Source organism: Homo sapiens, chromosome 19 (genome assembly GCF_000001405.40).
Source record: "Homo sapiens chromosome 19, GRCh38.p14 Primary Assembly".
NCBI lineage: Eukaryota > Metazoa > Chordata > Mammalia > Primates > Hominidae > Homo > Homo sapiens.
Genome location: NC_000019.10, coordinates 17,850,528 through 17,868,426, shown reverse-complemented (window position 1 = coordinate 17,868,426; position 17,899 = coordinate 17,850,528). Strand labels below are relative to the sequence as shown.

The following is a 17,899-nucleotide window of genomic DNA, read 5'->3' as shown; positions in this document are numbered from 1 at the left end:
CTCATGCCTGTAATCTCAGCACTTTGGGAGGCCAAGCCAGGAAGATGGCTGGAGGCTAGGAGTTGGAGACCAGCCTGAACAATATAGTGAGACCCCAACTCTACAATTTTGTTTGTTTGTTTGTTTGTTGTATTTTTAGTAGAGAAGGGGTTTCACCATGTTGGCCAGGCTGGTCTCGAACTCCTGACCTCACATGATCCACCCACCTCTGCCTCCCAAAGTGCTAGGACTACAGGTGTGAGCCACCATGCCCAGCCAAAAATTTTTAAAAGTTAGCCGAGTTTGGTGGTGTGCACCTGTGGTCCCAGCTACTTAGGAGGCTGAAGCAGAAGGATTGGTTGAGCTGGGGAGGTTGAGGCTGCAGTGAGCGGTGATTGCGCCACTGCACTTTAGCCTGGGCGACAGAAGAAGACCCTGTCTCTAAAAAAATAAATAAATGCAAACTATTCTTCCTTGTTGCTGCTGCTGTCTGTAAGATTCCACAATTCGACTGGGCACGGTGCTCACGCTTGTAATCCCAACACTTTTGGAGGCCCAGGCAGGTGGATCATCTGAAGTCAGGAGTTCAAGCCCACCCTGGCCAACATGAAGAAACCCCGTGTCTACTAAAAACACAAAAAACTAGCCAGGCATGGTGGCAGGCATGTGTAATCCCAGCTACTCGGGAGGCTGAAGCAGGAGAATCGCTTGAACCCAAGAGGCAGAGGTTGCAGTAAGCTAAGATCATGCCATTGCACTCCAACCTGGGCAGCAAGAGTGAAACTCCATCTCAAAAAAAAAAAAAAAAAAAAAAAGATTCCATAATTCTAAGTCCTGAGACTCAACTGTGAGTCTCAGATTCTGTGATTCTCATATAGTCTCTCTTGGTTGCAGGAACTGGGGCTGGGGTCTCTTGGGGTCCCTACTCGTCTGTCCTGCTTTGGCACTGCCTTTGTCCCCACTGGTTCTGACTCAGGAGCAGAAGTGCAGGGCGGGTCAGGGAGGGGAGGCTTTGAATGTCGCTCCCCCAGGGATCACGGCCCTACTGAGGTGACACCTGGCACCTTGACAAGCCCAGGAACGAGACCCAGGAGCGCCTCAGCACCTGAGGAGGTGGGAGGAGTTCCTGGATTCCTGCCCTTGCTTATCCTTGGGTTAACTGGGTGAGCCCGGGTAGGACCTGTCCTGCTCCAGACCCCAGCGGACATCCAGGTTCTCGCTGGCCAGCCTCTGCCTTATTGGCCCCACTCACAGCCACGTGAAAGGATCCATTTCTGCCCAGACCCAGGGCTTTTGCTCTGGTTGGTCTTGTACCTTCTCTCAACAGCCAGGGGCAGTTCTTTTTGTTTGCTTATTTTTTCTATTTGTTTTTCTGAGACAGGGGCTCGCTCTGTTGCCCAGGCTGGAGTGCAGTGGAGAGGTTACGGCTCACTGCAACTTCAACCTTCTGGGCTCAAGTGATCCTCCTGCCTCAGACTCCCAAGTAGCTGGGACTATGGGCACACCACCACCACGCCCAGCCTCTGCATGGGGTTGTGACTGTTCCTCTCCCTCCTGAGAAAGAACCAGGGTCTGTCTATTCCTTCAATCACCCACACCGGAATTAACGCAGGCCCCTGCACAAAGTAGGGACTCAAGGACAATTGAGGCTGCAACAAAGGGATGGTGTGTGTGGGGTGGGGGTGGGCGCGTGGAGTTTGGGTAGAGGATTTGACATGACAGATGGGAGGATGTGTAAATGGATGGATGGGTGGGTGGATAGATGGATGGATGGATAAATGGATGTATGTATCGACTGGTGGGTGGTTGAATGGGTGAATGGATGGATGGATGGATAGATGGGTGGGTGGGTTGATGGGCAGGTGGGTGGATGGGTGGGTGGGTAGATGGATGGATGGATAGATGGGTGGATGGATGGATGGGTGAGTTGATGGATGGGTGGGTGGGTGGATAGCTGGATGGATGGCTGGATGGTTGGGTGGATGGATGGATGGGTAGGTGGATGAGTGGAAGGATGAATGGATGGGGTGGGTGGATTGAGTGGACGAATGGATGGACAGGTAGCTGGTTGGATGGTGGAGGAATCTGACTGAATGGAAGGATGGGGTTTGGCAGGGGGTGGGGGAATTCGGTGGTAGAGGGGCTTCTGGGCACATTTATGAGAGGCTGAGTGTGCCAAGGTAGGTGAATAGGTGCAGGCTAGTGATCTGGGAGCACATTCATCCTGTCAATGGCCCCTCAATAATGGGATTGGCCTCCATGTCTCAGCTGGTTGGGGCAGAGCTCTCCCAAGTGGTTCCCAGGCTGCTGCCACGTGGTTGAAGCCCTGGAGGGGCTCCAAGGCACAGGGAGGGGACTGAGGTGGAGATGAGGGTATGCAGTGGGCTTTGGTGGGGCCGTGAGCCTTCCACTCTCCTGATCTCTCATCCTCCAACTCACCTAATATCACCTCGCCTGCCCTGCAGCCTGGAGGGATCACCGCCCTCACTTTATACAGGAAGAAATGGCTCAGAGAGGGCAGGGACTTCCAGGCAGTTACGGCCTGAGTCCACAGTGCCACGCCCTGCTTCAGGCCCAGCTCAAGGTAAGGTAAGGTCACATCTAACAGAGCAGCTCCATTACAGCCTAAGCAGGACTCATGTCTCCTCCCCGTGTTCTAATCAAGGGGGTAGAAGGGTCAAGCCTCAGGGACGGGGGCAGCACTGCACAGGGTCAAGTACCGGAGATCCTTCTCCCTCACTGCTCCTGTGTGTTGCTTCTTCATAGTCCAAAATGACTGCTGCAGCACTGGCCATCATGTCCACACCAGCCAGAGGCGTTCTTTCTCAGAAATGGCACATCAGTACTGTATTTTTGTTTTGTTTGGTCTCGTCTTGTTTCCAGGCTGGAGTACAGTGGCATGATCATGGTTCACTGCAGCCTCAACCTCCAGGCTCAAGTGATTCTCACACCTCAGGCCCCCGTGTAGCTGGGACTACAGGTGTGCACCGCAACACCCAGCTAATGTTACTTGGTAAAGACAGGGTCTCACTATGTCTACCAGTCTGGTCTCAAACTCCTGGCCTCAAGTGATCCTCCTACCTCAGCCTCCCAAAGTGCTGAGATGACAGCCATGAGCCACACCTGGCCATAGCTATGGAGGTTAGGAAATGTATTTTCTTTTCTGGGTGGCACTTAAGTATGAAGATTCCCTTATGGAGAAAGGAGAGTTTGTACTAGAAACCACAAGATGAATGAAATTCAGGCAAAATTTTAAGATTTCCAGCTAGCACCCCCCATCCAATATACTCTAAGGAACATCAAAAGATATCCTGGGCTAGGCGGGGTGGCTCACACCTGTAATCCCAGCACTTTGGGAGGCCAAAGCAGGTGGCATGAGGTCGAGTTCCAGACTAGCCCGGCCCACATGGTGAAACCCCGTCTGTACTAAAAATACAAAAAATTTGCCAGGCGTGGTGGCAGGCACCTGTAATTCTAGCTACTCTGGAGGCTGAGGCAGGAGAATCCCTTGAACCTGGGAGGCAGAGGTTGCAGTGAGCTGAGACTGTGCCACTGCACTCCAGCATGGGCAACCAAGCGCGACTCCGTCTCAAAAAAAGAAAGATATCCTGGGAAAATGTATGACTCTTCTCAAGCTTTTGCCCCGCATATGTAAAGAGCTTTCACGAAACAAAAAGGATACCATGGAAAGTTGAGCCCCTCCTGGATACACTGGGTGACACACACAGCCCCTGCCCTCTCAGAACTAGTGGGGGATAGAAATCAAATATAGCCCAGTCCCGGGAACCCACGTGCAGTTTGTAAAACTCGAGTGAGGCCAGCCTGGGGGAATCTGTAGTATTCCAGGCAAGTGCGAAGGCCCTAGGGTGGGAAGGAGCCAGTTGTTGGGGACGGGACCCGTGGGGTTCTGTGGTCTACAGGGCTGTCCTCAGGCCTGGGTCTTACGCAGAATGGGTGCTTGTGTGCTGACCCTGCCCAGGTTCTGGGCGCCTCTCCAAGTTCCTGGGTGTTACAACACCCCACAGGTGAGGCTGGAAAAGGCCTGGTTTCCTGGAAACCACACAGCTCCTCCACAGGTAGAGGAAAGGCTGTGTCCTTGCCCTGAGTGTGGTGGTGCCCCTGTAGTCCCAGCTACTTGGGAGGCTGAGGCAGGAGGACCACTTGAGCCCAGGAGGTCGAGGCTACAGTAAGCCACGATCTCTCCACTGCACTCTAGCCAGGGCGACAGAGCAAGACCCTGTTTCAAAAAGCCGTAACTACTACCTAGTCCTGGCTTCCTCCTGGTCCTGGGCTCTCTGGGACAAAGGAGGGCCCCATAGGCTGACCCCAGCACCTGCACAGCGTCACTTCCCACATCAATGTGGAACCCGATGTTGAGATCAAGACAGCAAGCCCCAGAAGGGCCGCTGGCCCAGAACAGGGCTGCCCAAGGTCACGCAACAAAGGATGGGAGGCTCCCAGAGCCTGAGCTCTTGGCTGTGTCTCAAACTTCTCCAATGCCAGCTTAGCCTCCACCTGACAGAAGGACTCAGCCAGGGTGGGATTAGTGTCATGCCTGGAATTTTCCAGGCCTGAGGCAGTTTCCCAGAGATGAGTACCTGTGGTGAGTCCTTGACCTCCTTGGGCAAGATGAGGGCGTCATCTAAGAGGCCCCCAACCAGTGAAAGGGAAACAGCCCCCAAGCAGCAGAGAGCGCCCCTCGGGTGCCCACTTGTGTCTACTCTGAAAACTTTGGGAACCAGAGACTTAGGAGAATCCCCAGGGAGTGAACGCCAACCCCACTATCTAGGGAGATTCTCCCTGGTCCAGACTCAGCAGGGGAGCCTGGGAGGCCTGTGTCTCACAAGGCAGTTGGGACAGATTTAGGGCCCAGGACAGACAGTACCCCTGCAGCTCATAGCCCAGGGCTGCCAGCAGGGCTGAGAACTGACCAAGCAAGAGGGAGCTCAGGGGTGGGGGCGCCTGGAGGGCCCACTCCAGGACAGGAGGATGTGAGGGTTTGTTTGTTTGCACTGAAGACCCCTCCCAGGACAAAGAAATGGCAGCTCAGCTGCACCCCAGGAGCTGACTGGGCCGGCCTCTCATAGCACCCCTTTGAGCTCTGCAGTGTGCAAAGAAAACATGCGGCGAGCACCGGGGCGTTCCTGAGTTTATTTGGGGCACACCCGGACGAGGGCCCTGCACCTAGAAGAAGGTGTTGGGCCTCTTGGTGGTGAAGCGTGGCTTGTGCTGACGGCGCAGGACCCGGTGGGGCAGCGGGAACTTGATCTTGGAGTCCTGTGAGGAAGGGAGGCATGTTGAGGGGGTTGGAAGCCTCTTAACACCCCATCCTGTGGGGCCACCAAGGTGTAGCCGCCCCCCACTGGGCTCCTGCGTCAGAGCAGGCACTTCCCTCCAGGGGAGTCCCCCAGGGCACTCACGTGGAACTGCTTGACAGCCGGCCGGCGGCACTTGCTGGCCGCGATCTCCTCCACCTTCATGATCTGAATGGAGTGGGCTCGGGCGCGGTGCCGGGCACCCATGTCTCGGTCTGTGGAAAGGAGCGGGGCCAGGGTGACGGTGTTGCCTGGGCTCTGGGCATTCAGCAAACCTCCTGAGTGCCTGCCCAATGACCTGACACATCCTGTTGGTCACAGCAACTGCCTGAGGGCTCGGGGCTCACGGGAAGGTGGTGGTGGGGAAGCGAGATAGCCCAAGGCCTGGGTCCCTGCAGTCACTGGCCACTAGAGTTGTGGAACCTCCAAATTCACTTTGAGGGGCACGGCCACAGCCCCCCAAAGGCGACAAGATCCGCTTGCTGTTTGCACCTCTGTTTAAACCACCGCTATAAGAAACAGTGATTCTTGGGTTTAGGTGCAATCAGGGAGGTGTGGGGGTCTCACAGACCCTGGCAGGTGAGCCAGGGAAAAGGTGCCAGCTCCCAACACTAGGCAGGGGTTCAATTCGGTTCTCAGTGGGTCCCAGAAAACAGTGGTGATGTGGATCCCAGTCTAAACAAGGTGCAGACCCAAAAAGGGAGTTTCCAGATGTGATGTGATTTACAACCGAGCCTGGCAGGGCTCTCAGAAAAGCGCCATCTGGGGCCTGGGGCATCCTTTTGTCTTCCTGTGCCCCGCCACCAGTCCTGAGACTCTCCTGCACTGGGAACCTCTGGCACTTGCCCTGCCTCAGTGTGAGGGAGTCAAGGAGGGTCTAAAAAGCTGGAGGCGGGACAGGCAGCTTACAGCACTGGGTGACAGCGCCTGCGGTGGTCAGGTCCCGGTATTCCCGGTACATGTTGTGGGTGCCGCTCCGGGAGTCATAGCGCAGCCAGATCCCGAAGTTCTTCACCCGCAGGGGGGACTTCTCAAACACCTGCCAAGGAGAGGCCACAGGGAGATGTGAGAGCAGCAAGCCGATGTGCCCTAGCCCCATCCTCACTGAACCCTCTGCCTCTAAAGCACACCCCAGGCTCCAGGCCTACTCTATGGCCAGACTCTTGTGCCTCAGTTTCCCAGCCCCACCTACCTTCAGGCATCCTCAGGGAGCGTGAGGTAAGGGAACTTCCCATGGCAACAGCCTGAAGTCCAGGCTTCTGCCACGGACACCAACCCAGCCCCAGATGCAGTTCCTGAACTCAAGTCTCCTGGAACCTGTCTGGGCCAACCTAGCTACCACCCACTGACCAGATAGCCATCACCTCTCCTCACTTAACAGACAGGGCCCAGGGAAGACAGCACCAACCAAGGTGTCCCACCATGCCACCCACCCGCTCCCTGGGTCCCTGGCTTTCTAATCAGGGAAATGGCACATAAGCTCTGCTCCAGTCCCGTGACCCAGGCAGAAACACAACCCGGGGCTCTGATGTCTGATGTGATGGGATTACAGGCGTTGAGCTACCGCACCCGTTCGATGTCTGATTAATTCTTGAGATGCACGATGTCCCAAGAGGCGCAAATCCACTCCAGACCCCACGTAGCCCCGGCCTCTCCATACCTGCCCACAGTAGACAATCTCCCCTGAAGACTTCTTCATCTTCTTTAACTGAGATACAAAGTACCAGAAGCGGGACTTGGCGACGACATGATTAGGCGCAAAGATTCGCATGCGGTAGAGGGGCGGCGTGTGGCATTTGGGGGTGGGCAGGCAGCGACCCACTACCTTGTACTCTCGTAGCTGAAAGGAAACAGGAGTGAGGGTAAGGCCAGCACCCAGAGGCAACTGTGGAGATCCACCTCACTCCCTTTCCTACATCTAGTGACCACAGATTCGGGAAGCAGGAGGCAGGGCCACCCTAGGGCCTCCATGTGGATTCTTGGTGACTGTAGGTCACACTCCCGACCACAACTTTATACACAAAATGAACTGAGGAGAGGGAGGTCTCCAGGGAGGATTAATTGAGTTGCCTGCCTCTCCTTTGCCTGGGCTAAGGGTTTCAGACCAGGAAAGCTGTGGCTTAGACCCACAGCCTCCTTTCTTCATGCTGCAGTCCTGAATTGCTTTGCAGTCGCCGTCAAACAGCCACTCTGCACCTCAAAACATCCAGCCAACATCTTCTTTCACCCTGAGGCCCAGTGACCAGCATGGGATCTCACAGCCCATTCCAGGCAGAACTAGGACAAGACCTCAGGTCTCTCCCCAGCCCTGGGATCCCTGCACTGTTGCCACGCGAGCTGCGGCTGCCTCCGTTTTCCCAACTGCAATCCAAACGTTTGGCCCAGGGAAGACTCCCGGTTTACAGATGCAGAGGTGAGAATCTTTGGTCAAGTCCAGGCTCTGTGATATGGCACAAAGAAACCACCTCTGAAACTGACTCGCCAGCTTTTCACTAGTTATCAATGAAAAATAGTCACAAATTATCGCAGTTCCTACTTTTACTGTGAACCTGACCCACCGGCCTCGGCACACGTTCAGGAAGGGAACAATGGGGCCCGCCCCTTTGACAGCAAGGAAACCGAAGCTGGAGATCTGGACATAATACACCCACTCCATGGGAGTCCAGGTTCTCCTATCTCTGCGCCATAGAGCCGTTTGATTCTATCCAGTATGTACCACAGCGTTAAGCCTCACGCTCCCCGTTTCGGCTCACTGTTAGCAATTTTCATCTGCTTCTCACAGCCATTCCGGCAGAAAGAAAACACACTATTGCTCTACCGCCACGTCCACGTTGCAGAAAGGAAAACAGAAACTTGGCGGCTCGACGAGGTGCCGGGGCTAGGGCCTCTATGCTGCGCGACTTATTCCTTCCCCCGGGAAGAAGACCCGGAGTCCTTGGGCCCCCGCGATCCCTGAGCTGGCCCAGGTCACGCATCGCTCTCTCCACGCGGCTCCCACGATGGCCGCCATGTTGGGTGCAACAAGAGAAGGCGGCGCGCGGCCAAGGGGGGCCCAAACAGAAGCGCGCGGCACCAACCCGGCCCACGCCACTTATGCAGGCCCCTGATGGGGCCCGTGCCCCATCCCTTGGCCCCCTGCCGCGCCGCGCCCGCCTTACCGTGCCCGAGGCCTTCATGGCGTGCTCTCCGCGTTCGCCGCCACCCGCAAAAGGAAGTGTCCTCTGTCGCGCAGCCGTTCACCAGGCCTTCACTACCGGAAGACCCGCCCTCTCAATGCCGCACGTCCATTGGCTTCTCTGCCCCGCACTCAAAGCGACCCGCGTCTTCATTGGCTATGGATCCACCTGCTACTCAAAGTTCCGCCTCTCTTCAGCGAGACTTCGTTTCCCAGAAGGCAACGAGGCAAGCTCCACCTGTTCCACCACGACCGCAACGGAGCGTCTGCGCGCGCGGCACGTCGGGAGTTGTAGGCACTCCGCCAGTCCCGGCTGCAACTAGGGGCGGCGGCGCGCGCCGCCTGCAGGATGCCTAAGCATTGAACCTAAGCTACCTCGGGTGGCTGCGGTGTTTACCGTGAGATCCCGATGCTTCACACTCGGGGCCTCATCCTCCGGGGAGGTGTGTTACGGAGGTCTCCACCAGATACCTGAGGGTATCTGTAAAATGGGAATACAAATAATATATTTTTCTCCTAGCGATGTTGCAGCACGAATATTGAATAAGCTCTGGAATGCTGTTTTTGTTAATTTGGGGTCCGATTTGTGTTTCGTAGTAGCTGGGATTCAAACTCTGTCTGTCTGCCTCCAGTTCATAAGAACCTGAGGGAGCAGGGGTTGGGGGAGAGCGCGCGGAGAGCCGGAGAATGGATCAAGATCCAGCCGCCCACTTTGAGGGGCTTGGACTTAGCAGTTTGCTTGGGCAGAAAGAAGCCCTCCTGGGGATGAGGACGGGGACCAGATATGAAAAAAGAAACACCCGCAAACAACTCCCTGATGACAAGGCTATGAAGTAAAATTAAGAGGAAAGAGGCAGGAGGCTGAGGCATGAGAATCGTTTGAACCCAGGAGCCAGAGGTTGCAGTGACCCGAGATTGCGCCACTGTACTCCAGCCTGGGCGACAGAGTGAGACTCTGTCTCAAAAAAAAAAAAAAAAAAAAAAGACCAGGCGCGGTGGCTCACGCCTGTCATCCCAGCACTTTGGGAGGCCGAGGCGGGTGGATCACTTGAGGTCAGGAGTTCGAGACCAGCCTGGCCAACATGGCGAAACCCCGTCTCTACTAAAAATACAAAAATTAGCCGGGCGTGGTGGCGGGCGCCTGTAATCCCAGCTACTCGGGAGGCTAAGGCAGAAGAATCGCTTGAACCTGGGAGATGGAGGTTGTAGTAAGCCGAGATCTGGCCATTGCACTCCAGCCTGGGAGACAGGGCGAGACTCCGACTCAGAAAAAAAAGAAAGAAAGAAAGAAAGAAAATAAAGGACAGCAAGCATGCAATTTTTTATTTTCATTTTCTTATTTTGCATTTCTGGTTCTCTTAATCTGGTTTTGTGGATTCAAGTCACTACTGGGTGTGATTTTCTTTTCTTTTCTTTTTCTTTTATTTTTTGAGACTGAGTCTTACTCTTTTCCCCAGGCCAGAGTGCAGTGGCGCTATCTCGGCTCACTGCAACCTCTGCCTCCTGGGTTCAAGCAATTCTCCCGCCTCAGCCTCCAGAGTAGCTGGGATTACAGGCGCCCGCCACGATGCCCAGGTAATTTTTGTATTTTTAGTAGACACAGGGTTTTACCATGTTGGTTAGGCTGGTCTCGAACTCCTGACCTCAGGTAATCCGCCTGCCTCCACCTCCCAAAGTGTTGGGATTACAGGCGTAAGCCACCGCGCCCGGCCCAATGATTTTCTTATTCCAGTACAACTTGGCTCCCTTCACCTCCTTTGTGCCGTTAATGTCAAATATGTTACCTTTCTCTATATTGTAGACCCAACAATACAATTAATATATAGTTTGTTGTTGTTGTTGTTGTTGTTTTGAGATGGAGTTTAGCTCTGTCGCCCAGGCTGGAGTGCAGCAGCGTGATCTCAGCTCACTGCAACCTCTGCCTCCCAGGTTCAAGCGATTCTCCTGCCTCAGCCTCCCGAGTAACTGGGACTACAGGCGTGCACCACCACGCCTGGCTAATTTTTTGTATTTTTAGTAGAGATAGGGTTTTACTGGGTTGGCCAGGCTGGTCTCAGATTCCTGACCTCAGGTGACCCACCCGCCTCGGCCTCCCAAAGTGCTGGGATTACAGGCATGAGCCACCGCACCCAGCCTGTTTTTTTGTTTGTTTTTTGTTTTTTTGAGACAGAGTCTCGCTCTGTCACCCAGGCTAGATTGCAGTGGCATGATCTCGGCTCACTGCAACCTCCACCTCCCAGGTTCGAGCAATTCTCCTGCTTCAGCCTCCTGAGTAGCTGAGATTACAGGCGTGCACCACCACACCCGGCTAATGTTTTGTATTTTTAGTAGAGAGGGGGTTTCACCATGTTGGCCAGACTGGTCTCGAACTCCCAACCTCAGGTGATATGCCCACCTCAGCCTCCCAAAGTGCTGGGATTGCAGGCATGAGCCACCGGGCCCGGCCAATATATAGTTTTGTACAATTGCTTTTTAAATATGTTAAGAGGCAAAGAGAGAAGAAATTTGCATTTATGCTACATTTTATTTTTATTTATTTATTTTGAGACAGGGTCTCACTCCATTACCCAGGCTGGAGGGCAGTGGTGCAATCTTGGCTCATTGCAACCTCTGCCTCCCAGGTTCAAATGATTCTCCTGCCTCAGCCTCCCAAGTAGCTGAAATTGCAGATGTGCGGCACCATGCCTGGCTAATTTTTTTTTTAATTTTTAGTAGAGACAAGAGTTTCGCCATGTTGGCTATGGCTGGTCTTGAACTCCTGACCTCAAGTGGTCTGCCCGTCATGGCCTCCGAACATGCTGGGATAACAGGCATGAGCCACTGTCACTGGCAGATCTTATTTTTATTTATTTATTATTATTATTTTTTGAGACGGAGTCTCACTCTGTCACCCAGGCTGGAGTGCAGTGGCGTGATCTCAGTTCACTGCAATCTCCGCCTCCCGGGTTCATGCCATTCTCCTGCCTCAGCCCCCTCGAGTAGCTGGGACTACAGGTGCCCGCCACCATGCCCGGCTAATTTTTTGTATTTTTAGTAGAGATGGGGTTTCACCATGTTAGCCACGATGGTCTCAATCTCCTGACCTCGTGATCTGCCTGCCTCGGCCTCCCAAAGTGCTGGGATCATGGGCGTGAGCCATTGTGCCCAGCCTTATTTTTTTGATACAGGATCTCACTCTGTTGCCCAGGCTGGAGTGCAGTGGCGAGATCTCTGTTCACTGCAGCCTCGAACTCCCAGGTTCAAGAGATTCTCCCACCTCAGACCTCCCGAGTAGTTAGGACGGATGCCATGAAACCCAGCTAAGTTTTATATTTTTTTCCTTAAACTCCTGACCTCGTGATCCACCCGCCTCGGCCTCCCAAAGTGCTGGGATTACAGGTGTGAGCCACCGTGCCCGGCCAAGTTTTGTATTTTTTGTAGAGACAAGGTCTCTCTGTGTTGCCCAGGCTGGTCTTGAACTCCTAGGCTCAATTGATCTGCCCACCTCAGCCTCCTGAAGTGTTGGGATTACAGGCGTGAGCCAAAGCACCCGGCCTTATGCAATCTTTTAAAATTACATACATTACCTTTATATGTGTTCTTCAGATTTTCACGTGGATTGGAATACATGTCTGGGGTCCCTTGTTTTCAGCCTAAAGAATTTATTTTGGGTGGGTACGGTGGCTCTCGCCTGTAATCCCAGCACCTTGCGAGGCCCAGGTGGGTGGATCACCTGAGGTCAGGAGCTCGAGACCAGCCTGGCCAACATGGTGAAACCCCGCTTCTATTAAAAAATACAAAAATTAGCTGGGTATTGTGGCGGGTGCCTGTAGTCCCAGCTACTTGAGAGGCTGAGGCATGAGAATCGCTTGAGCCTGGGAGTCGGAGGTTGCAGTGAGCCGAGATTGTGCCACTGTACTCCAGCCTGGGCAACAGAGTGAGACTCTGTCTCGAAAAAATATACATTTTTTTAGTATTTCTTGTGAGGTGGGCAAATTAACTTTTGCACTAAAATCTTTAGCCCAACTGTAGCACAGGTGGTTAGTTACCCAGTCCCTTCCTGGTGGACACTTAGACTGTGAAAATTCGGAAAACTGATGGGCGTGATGCGGGGCAGGGAGGCCAGGGGAGCAGGTCAGCCCTCCTCTGGCTGGGCTTTTCGGGGCAGGACGTCAGGTGAGAGGCGGCTCTATCCCAACAGCGCTGCCGCGAGTGTCCACCAGGTGGCAGCAGAACCATGTCCCATCTGCGGTGGCCCAGCTGAGGCCAAGCGCTAGACCGTTGAATGATACACAACCAGGTTCAAATCTTACCGATGGTTCGCTGGCCGCGTTGCCGCTCTGGGCCTCAGTTTCCCCTTCCACAAAATGAGGCCAATAATAGTCGCCAGCTTTTAGGGTTGTTGTGAGATTTAAATGGCGTATGATTGTTTGGACTGGGAAGGTTGAGGCCCTGCCCTTCCCTCTGTGCTGGAACTCACCGCTCTGGCCTCAGTTTCCCCAAAGTGCTGAGCGGCTACAAGCAGGTGGAAAGAGATGCTGGAAAGGGCAGAGCGCAGCCTGGAGCACAAATTGGATCCTGGGACAGCAGGAACGGGGCAGGAAAAGGAATTTAGGGAGGACAGGGGAGGAGGAAGAAGACGAGAGGGAGATCCCTGAGACCCAGCCCTGGCCTTGGGGCCTCGTGCTTCTGCCTTCAAGGCCTGGGTTGGAGTGGAGGGAGGGGCATGCCAGGGTGGGGAAGGGCACGGGTCGTGATGTGCTGTTTGTTTCAAAGCTTTATTATTTTTCTTTAGTTTCTTTTTTTTTTTGAGATGGAGTCTCACTCTGTTCCCCAGGCTGGAATGCAATGGCGTGATCTCATCTCACCGTAGCCTCTGCCTCCCAGGTTCAAGCGATTCTCCTGCCTCACCCTCCAGAGTAGCTGGGATTACAGGCACCCATCATCATGCCTGGCTAATTTTTGTAGAGACAGGGTTTCTTGTTTCCTTTTTTTTTTTTTTTTTGAGACGGAGTCTCACTCCATTGCCAAGGCTGGAATGCAGTGGCACAATCTCAGCTCACTGCAGCCTCTGCCTCCTGGGTTCAAGCCATCCTCTCCTGCCTCAGCCTCCTGAGTAGCTGGGATTACAGGCATCTGCCTCCACGCCCGGCTAATTTTTGTAATTTTAGTAGAGACGGGGTTTCACCATGTTGGACAGGCTGGTCTTGAACTCCTGACCTCAGATAATCCACCCACCTCAGCCTCCCAAAATGCTGGGATTACAGGCGTGAGCCACCGCGCCCGGCCCAGAGCTTTATTATTTTTCTTTTTGGTTGGGCACAGTGGCTCATATCTGTAACCCCAGCACTTTGGGAGGCTGAAGCGGGCAGGTCACTTGAGGTCAGGAGTCGAGACCAGCCTGGCCAACATGGTGAAACCCCGTCTCTACCAAAAATACAAAAATTAGCTGGGTGCAGTGACACACACCTGTAATCCCAGCTACTCGGGAGGCTGAGGCACGAGAATCACTTGAACCCTAGAGGCAGAGGTTGCAGTGAACCAAGATCATGCCGCTGCACTCCAGCCTGGGCAACAGAGTGAAACTGTCTTAATTTAAAAGAAAAAAAAAAGCTTTATTATTTTTCTTTCTTTTACATGTTGTCGGTGCCTGAGTGATGCCGTGGCCCCGGCTTCCTAGTGACACACCTGGCCTGGCAGGATTCCTCTGCCCCCACCTCGGGCCATGCAGGAATCTGACCTGAGCAGGCTGGTCCTGGGCTACTCTGTGTCTCTGTTATCACCATCCAGTGGGGCCCAGGCGAGGAGTTCCTGGTTAGCAGGGCTGTCCAAGGGCACCCCTGTCCCCCCTGTCTTTTTCCCAGGGACTTTGAAGGCACCAGTTTGTTCATCCAGGATCCTGGGCCAAGCCACAGCTTGGATCACGGAGCGTTCACAATGCTGATGTGCCTCATCCTTCCCACTCTTTCCCTCATCTCAGTTACTGGCACCAGTGCCTTCCCAAGGCTGGGCCCAAGACACCCAAATCTTGGTTTCTGACCGTTGGTCCTCAAAACACTGCAAAGCCACCCACTTGTATGCACTCCGGACTCCAGGTCCCTGGCCTTCTTTTTTTTTTTTTTTTTTTTTTGAGATGTAGCCTCTTTCCTGTCACGCAACCTTGAGTGCAATGCAGTGGCGCGATCTCAGCTCACTGCAACCTCCACCTCCCGAGTTCAAGCGATTCTCCTTCCTCAGCCTCCAGAGTAGCTGAGATTACAGGCGTGCGCCACCACACCCAGCTAATTTTTGTATTTTTAGCAGAGACGGGGTTTTACCATGTTGGCCAGGCTGGTCTTGAACTCCTGACCTGAGGTGATCCACCCACCTTGGCCTCCCGAAGTGCTAAGATTACAGGCATGAGCCACTGCACCCGGCCTTTTTTTTTTTTTTTTTTTTTTTTGAGACAGAGTTTTGCTCTTGTTGCCTAGGCTGGAGTGCAATGGTGTGATCTCGGCTTACCGCAGCCTCCACCTCCTGGGTTCAAGCGATTCTCCCACCTCAGCCTCCCAAGTAGCTGGAATTACAGGCATGCACCACCACATCCAGCTAATTTTGTTTTGTCAGTGGAGATGGGGTTTCTCCACGTTGATCAGGCTGGCCTCAAACTCCTGACCTGGGACTACAGGTGTGCACCACCATGCCCAGCTAATTTTTGTGTTTTTTTTGGTAGAGGTGGTGTTTCGCCACATTGCCCAGGCTGGTCTCAAACACAAGTTGTTTGTCAGAGACCAGCCTGCAATTCTCCCAGGGTGCTGGGATTACAGGCGTGAGCTACCATGCCCAGCCTAGGGGCCTCTTTTATAAGGGCATTAATCCCATTCATGAGAGCTCAACCCTCATGATCTAATCACCTCTTAAAAGGTTCCGATTCTGAATACCACCGCCTTCGAGGTTAGGATTTCAATGTATTAATTTTGGGGAGACGCAAACTCTCAGACCATCACAGTATTTTATCTTTTTCAGTGCTGCTGCAAAGGAAATTTTTCAAAATTTTTTTATGTTCCAATTGTTTGCTGCTGGTGTATAAAAATTCAATTGACTTTTGTATTGAATTCAACGGACTTTTTAAACCTGGTAACTTGCTGAATTTATGTATTAATTTCAGTAGTTGTCTTATAGATTCCCTTGGGTTTTTGACATAAACAATCATATCATCAGCAAATAGCAACAGTTTTATTTACCTTTTTTTTATTACTTATTTTATTCTGTTTTGCTTGTTACAGAATCTTGCTATGTTGCCTTTAAATTCTTGGGCTCCCATTTCAGCTTCTCCAGTAGCTGAGGCTACAAGCATGTATCACCATGCCCAGCCACACCTGACTTGTTTATTTTTCTCATATATTTTTTTGTTTTAAGACAGGATCTCGCTCTGTTGCCCAGACTGGAGTGTAATGGTGTGATGATGGCTTACTGCAGCCTTGTCCTCCCTGACTCAAGCAATCCTCAGCCTCCCAAATAGCTGGGACAACAGGTGTGAGCTATCACACCCTGCCAATTTTTAATTTTTTTTTTTTTTTTGAGACAGAGTCTCCCTCTGTCACCTAGGCTGGAGTGCAGTGGCGCGATCTTGGCTCACTGCAACCTTCACCTCCCGGGTTCAAGCGATTCTCCTGCCTCAGCCTCCTGAGTAGCTGGGATTACAGGCGCGCATCACCACGCACGGCTAATTTTTGTATTTTTACCATGCCTGGCTAATTTTTGTATTTTTAGTAGAGATGGGGTTTCACCATGTTGATCAGGCTGGTCTTGAACTCCTGACCTTGTGATTCTCCCACCTCAGCCTCCCAAAGTGCTGGGATTACAGGCGTGAGCCACCATGCCCAGCTTTTCTTTTCTTTCTTTCTTTTTTTTTTTTTTTAGACGGAGTCTCACTCTGTCACCCAGGCTGGAGTGCAGTGGCCCGATCTTGGCTCACTGCAAGCTCCGCCTCCCTGGTTCACACCATTCTCCTGCCTCAGCCTGCTTTTTCTTTTCTTATTACAGTGGCTAACATCACCAGAACAATGTTGAATAGAGGTGGTGAAAATGGACATCCTTGTCTTGTTTCCAATCTCAGGAGGAAGTTATTCAGTCTTTTACCATTTTTGTTTTTGTTTTTGAGATGTAGTCTCGCTCTGTCGCCCAGGCTGGAGTACAGTGGCACTATCTTGGCTCCCTGCAACCTCTGCCTCCTGGACTCAAGCCATCCTCCCACTTCAGTCTTCCAAGTAGCTGAGACTACAGGTGCACACCACCATGCCTGGCTAATTTTTGTATGTTTTGTAGAGACGGATCTCACCATGTTGCCCAGGCTAATCTCCAACTCCTGAGCTCAAATGATCCTCCCATGTTGACTTCCCAAAGTGCTCAGATTACAGGCATGAGCCACCGTGCCTGGCCCTGCCTCACTGTACTCTTAATTTTCATTTGGCAAGTGAAGCTGAGGAAATTTTTCTGGGTTTAAGAGCTATTTGTCCTCCATTTTCTCTGACTTCTGGATTCATATCCACCTAACTGGTTGGCATTTTCTTACTGCTTTCTAGATGTTACTTATATAACGAGGATATTTTATCCATGAGTTCAATTTTGTTTCCAGTTACACTTTGATTGTATTTTATTCTTTGATTGTATTTATGGACTTCTTGTCAGCAGAAAAATCTGGGTGTTTGCATCACTGACGTGCCCCATTTTTCTCGGGCAAGTTCTGGGTTCTGTCCCCAGAACTTCCTTTTTTTAAAAAAAATTATTTATTTATTTATTTATTTTTTGATACGGAGTCTTGCTGTGTCGCCCAGGCTGGAGTGCAGTTGTGCGATCTCGGCTCACTGCAACCTCCGCCTCCCAGGTTCAAGTGATTCTCTTGCCTCAGCCTCCTGAGTAGCTGGGACTGCAGGCGCCCGCCACCACACCCAGCTGCGTTTTGTATTTTTAGTAGAGATGGGGTTTCACCAGGTTGGCAAGGCCGGTCTCGAACTCCTAACCTCAGGCGATCCGCCCGCCTCGGCCTCCCAAAGTGCTGGGATTATAGGCGTGAGCCACCGCGCCCGGCCAGAACTTCCTTTTAGAGCCTTCACATGCCCTTCTCTGGGGCTGAAGGTACCACTTTGGTCCTCACCCCAATCTCCTCTTACTTATTCTCAAAATATTGCAGAAACCATCACACTGGAGGTAGCAGAGACCCAGAAACTCACTGTACTTCCGGAAAGCAGAGGCTTCAGCCTCAGGCCAAGGATGAGAACATAAGGTTGCATTCCCGTCTGCTGAAGCCACCCAGGAAGTGAAAGAAAACACTACAACTAAGCTTCTGCTTGGCACTTCCTGCCGCAGGTCAGCTGTGGCTCCACTAAGCTCCACTAAGCTGAGGACATAATCTATATCTCTTTCCCTTGACCCACGCGGCCCTACCCACGCCATCAAATGAGTCTCAGCC

General features: G+C 52.6%; 1 protein-coding gene and 1 non-coding gene across 2 annotated transcripts, besides 5 other annotated features; both read right to left on the bottom strand.

The window, feature by feature from the left end:
- Nucleotides 3,412-3,551: an enhancer, noted in NCBI's record as "active region_14287". NCBI's record gives its function as "activates an Ori minimal core promoter by ATAC-STARR-seq in GM12878 lymphoblastoid cells {active_cell/tissue: GM12878}" and the evidence as "EXISTENCE:reporter gene assay evidence [ECO:0000049][PMID:35858748]".
- On the bottom strand, nt 5,108-8,517 carry RPL18A (ribosomal protein L18a). Its single transcript, NM_000980.4, has 5 exons — nt 8,453-8,517; nt 6,955-7,134; nt 6,204-6,333; nt 5,400-5,509; nt 5,108-5,256 (listed from the first exon to the last, which is right to left on the bottom strand). Exons 1-5 carry the CDS (start codon nt 8,468-8,470, stop codon nt 5,164-5,166), a joined length of 531 nt encoding a protein of 176 aa, NP_000971.1. The 5' UTR covers nt 8,471-8,517; the 3' UTR covers nt 5,108-5,163.
- Nucleotides 5,291-6,025: an enhancer, noted in NCBI's record as "H3K4me1 hESC enhancer chr19:17973211-17973945 (GRCh37/hg19 assembly coordinates)". NCBI's record gives its function as "activates a minimal SCP1, AML or CMV promoter by ChIP-STARR-seq in primed H9 embryonic stem cells {active_cell/tissue: H9 hESC(primed)}" and the evidence as "EXISTENCE:reporter gene assay evidence [ECO:0000049][PMID:30033119]".
- Nucleotides 5,707-5,839, bottom strand: SNORA68 (small nucleolar RNA, H/ACA box 68). Its single transcript, NR_000012.1, has one exon. It is a non-coding gene; the product is annotated as a small nucleolar RNA, H/ACA box 68 (small nucleolar RNA).
- Nucleotides 6,026-6,762: an enhancer, noted in NCBI's record as "H3K27ac-H3K4me1 hESC enhancer chr19:17972474-17973210 (GRCh37/hg19 assembly coordinates)". NCBI's record gives its function as "activates a minimal SCP1, AML or CMV promoter by ChIP-STARR-seq in naive and primed H9 embryonic stem cells {active_cell/tissue: H9 hESC(naive and primed)}" and the evidence as "EXISTENCE:reporter gene assay evidence [ECO:0000049][PMID:30033119]".
- Nucleotides 8,234-8,969: an enhancer, noted in NCBI's record as "H3K27ac-H3K4me1 hESC enhancer chr19:17970267-17971002 (GRCh37/hg19 assembly coordinates)". NCBI's record gives its function as "activates a minimal SCP1, AML or CMV promoter by ChIP-STARR-seq in primed H9 embryonic stem cells {active_cell/tissue: H9 hESC(primed)}" and the evidence as "EXISTENCE:reporter gene assay evidence [ECO:0000049][PMID:30033119]".
- Nucleotides 8,522-8,901: an enhancer, noted in NCBI's record as "active region_14286". NCBI's record gives its function as "activates an Ori minimal core promoter by ATAC-STARR-seq in GM12878 lymphoblastoid cells {active_cell/tissue: GM12878}" and the evidence as "EXISTENCE:reporter gene assay evidence [ECO:0000049][PMID:35858748]".

Bases quoted from the DNA above. Each gene is read 5' to 3' on its own strand.
- RPL18A (NM_000980.4), bottom strand. The intron at 6,334-6,954 runs GTATGGAGAGGC...TCTCCTTGGCAG, and splicing joins AGATTGTCTACTGTGGGCAG to GTGTTTGAGAAGTCCCCCCT. The intron at 5,510-6,203 runs GTAAGCTGCCTG...TCCTTTCCACAG, and splicing joins AGGCGCTGTCACCCAGTGCT to ACCGAGACATGGGTGCCCGG.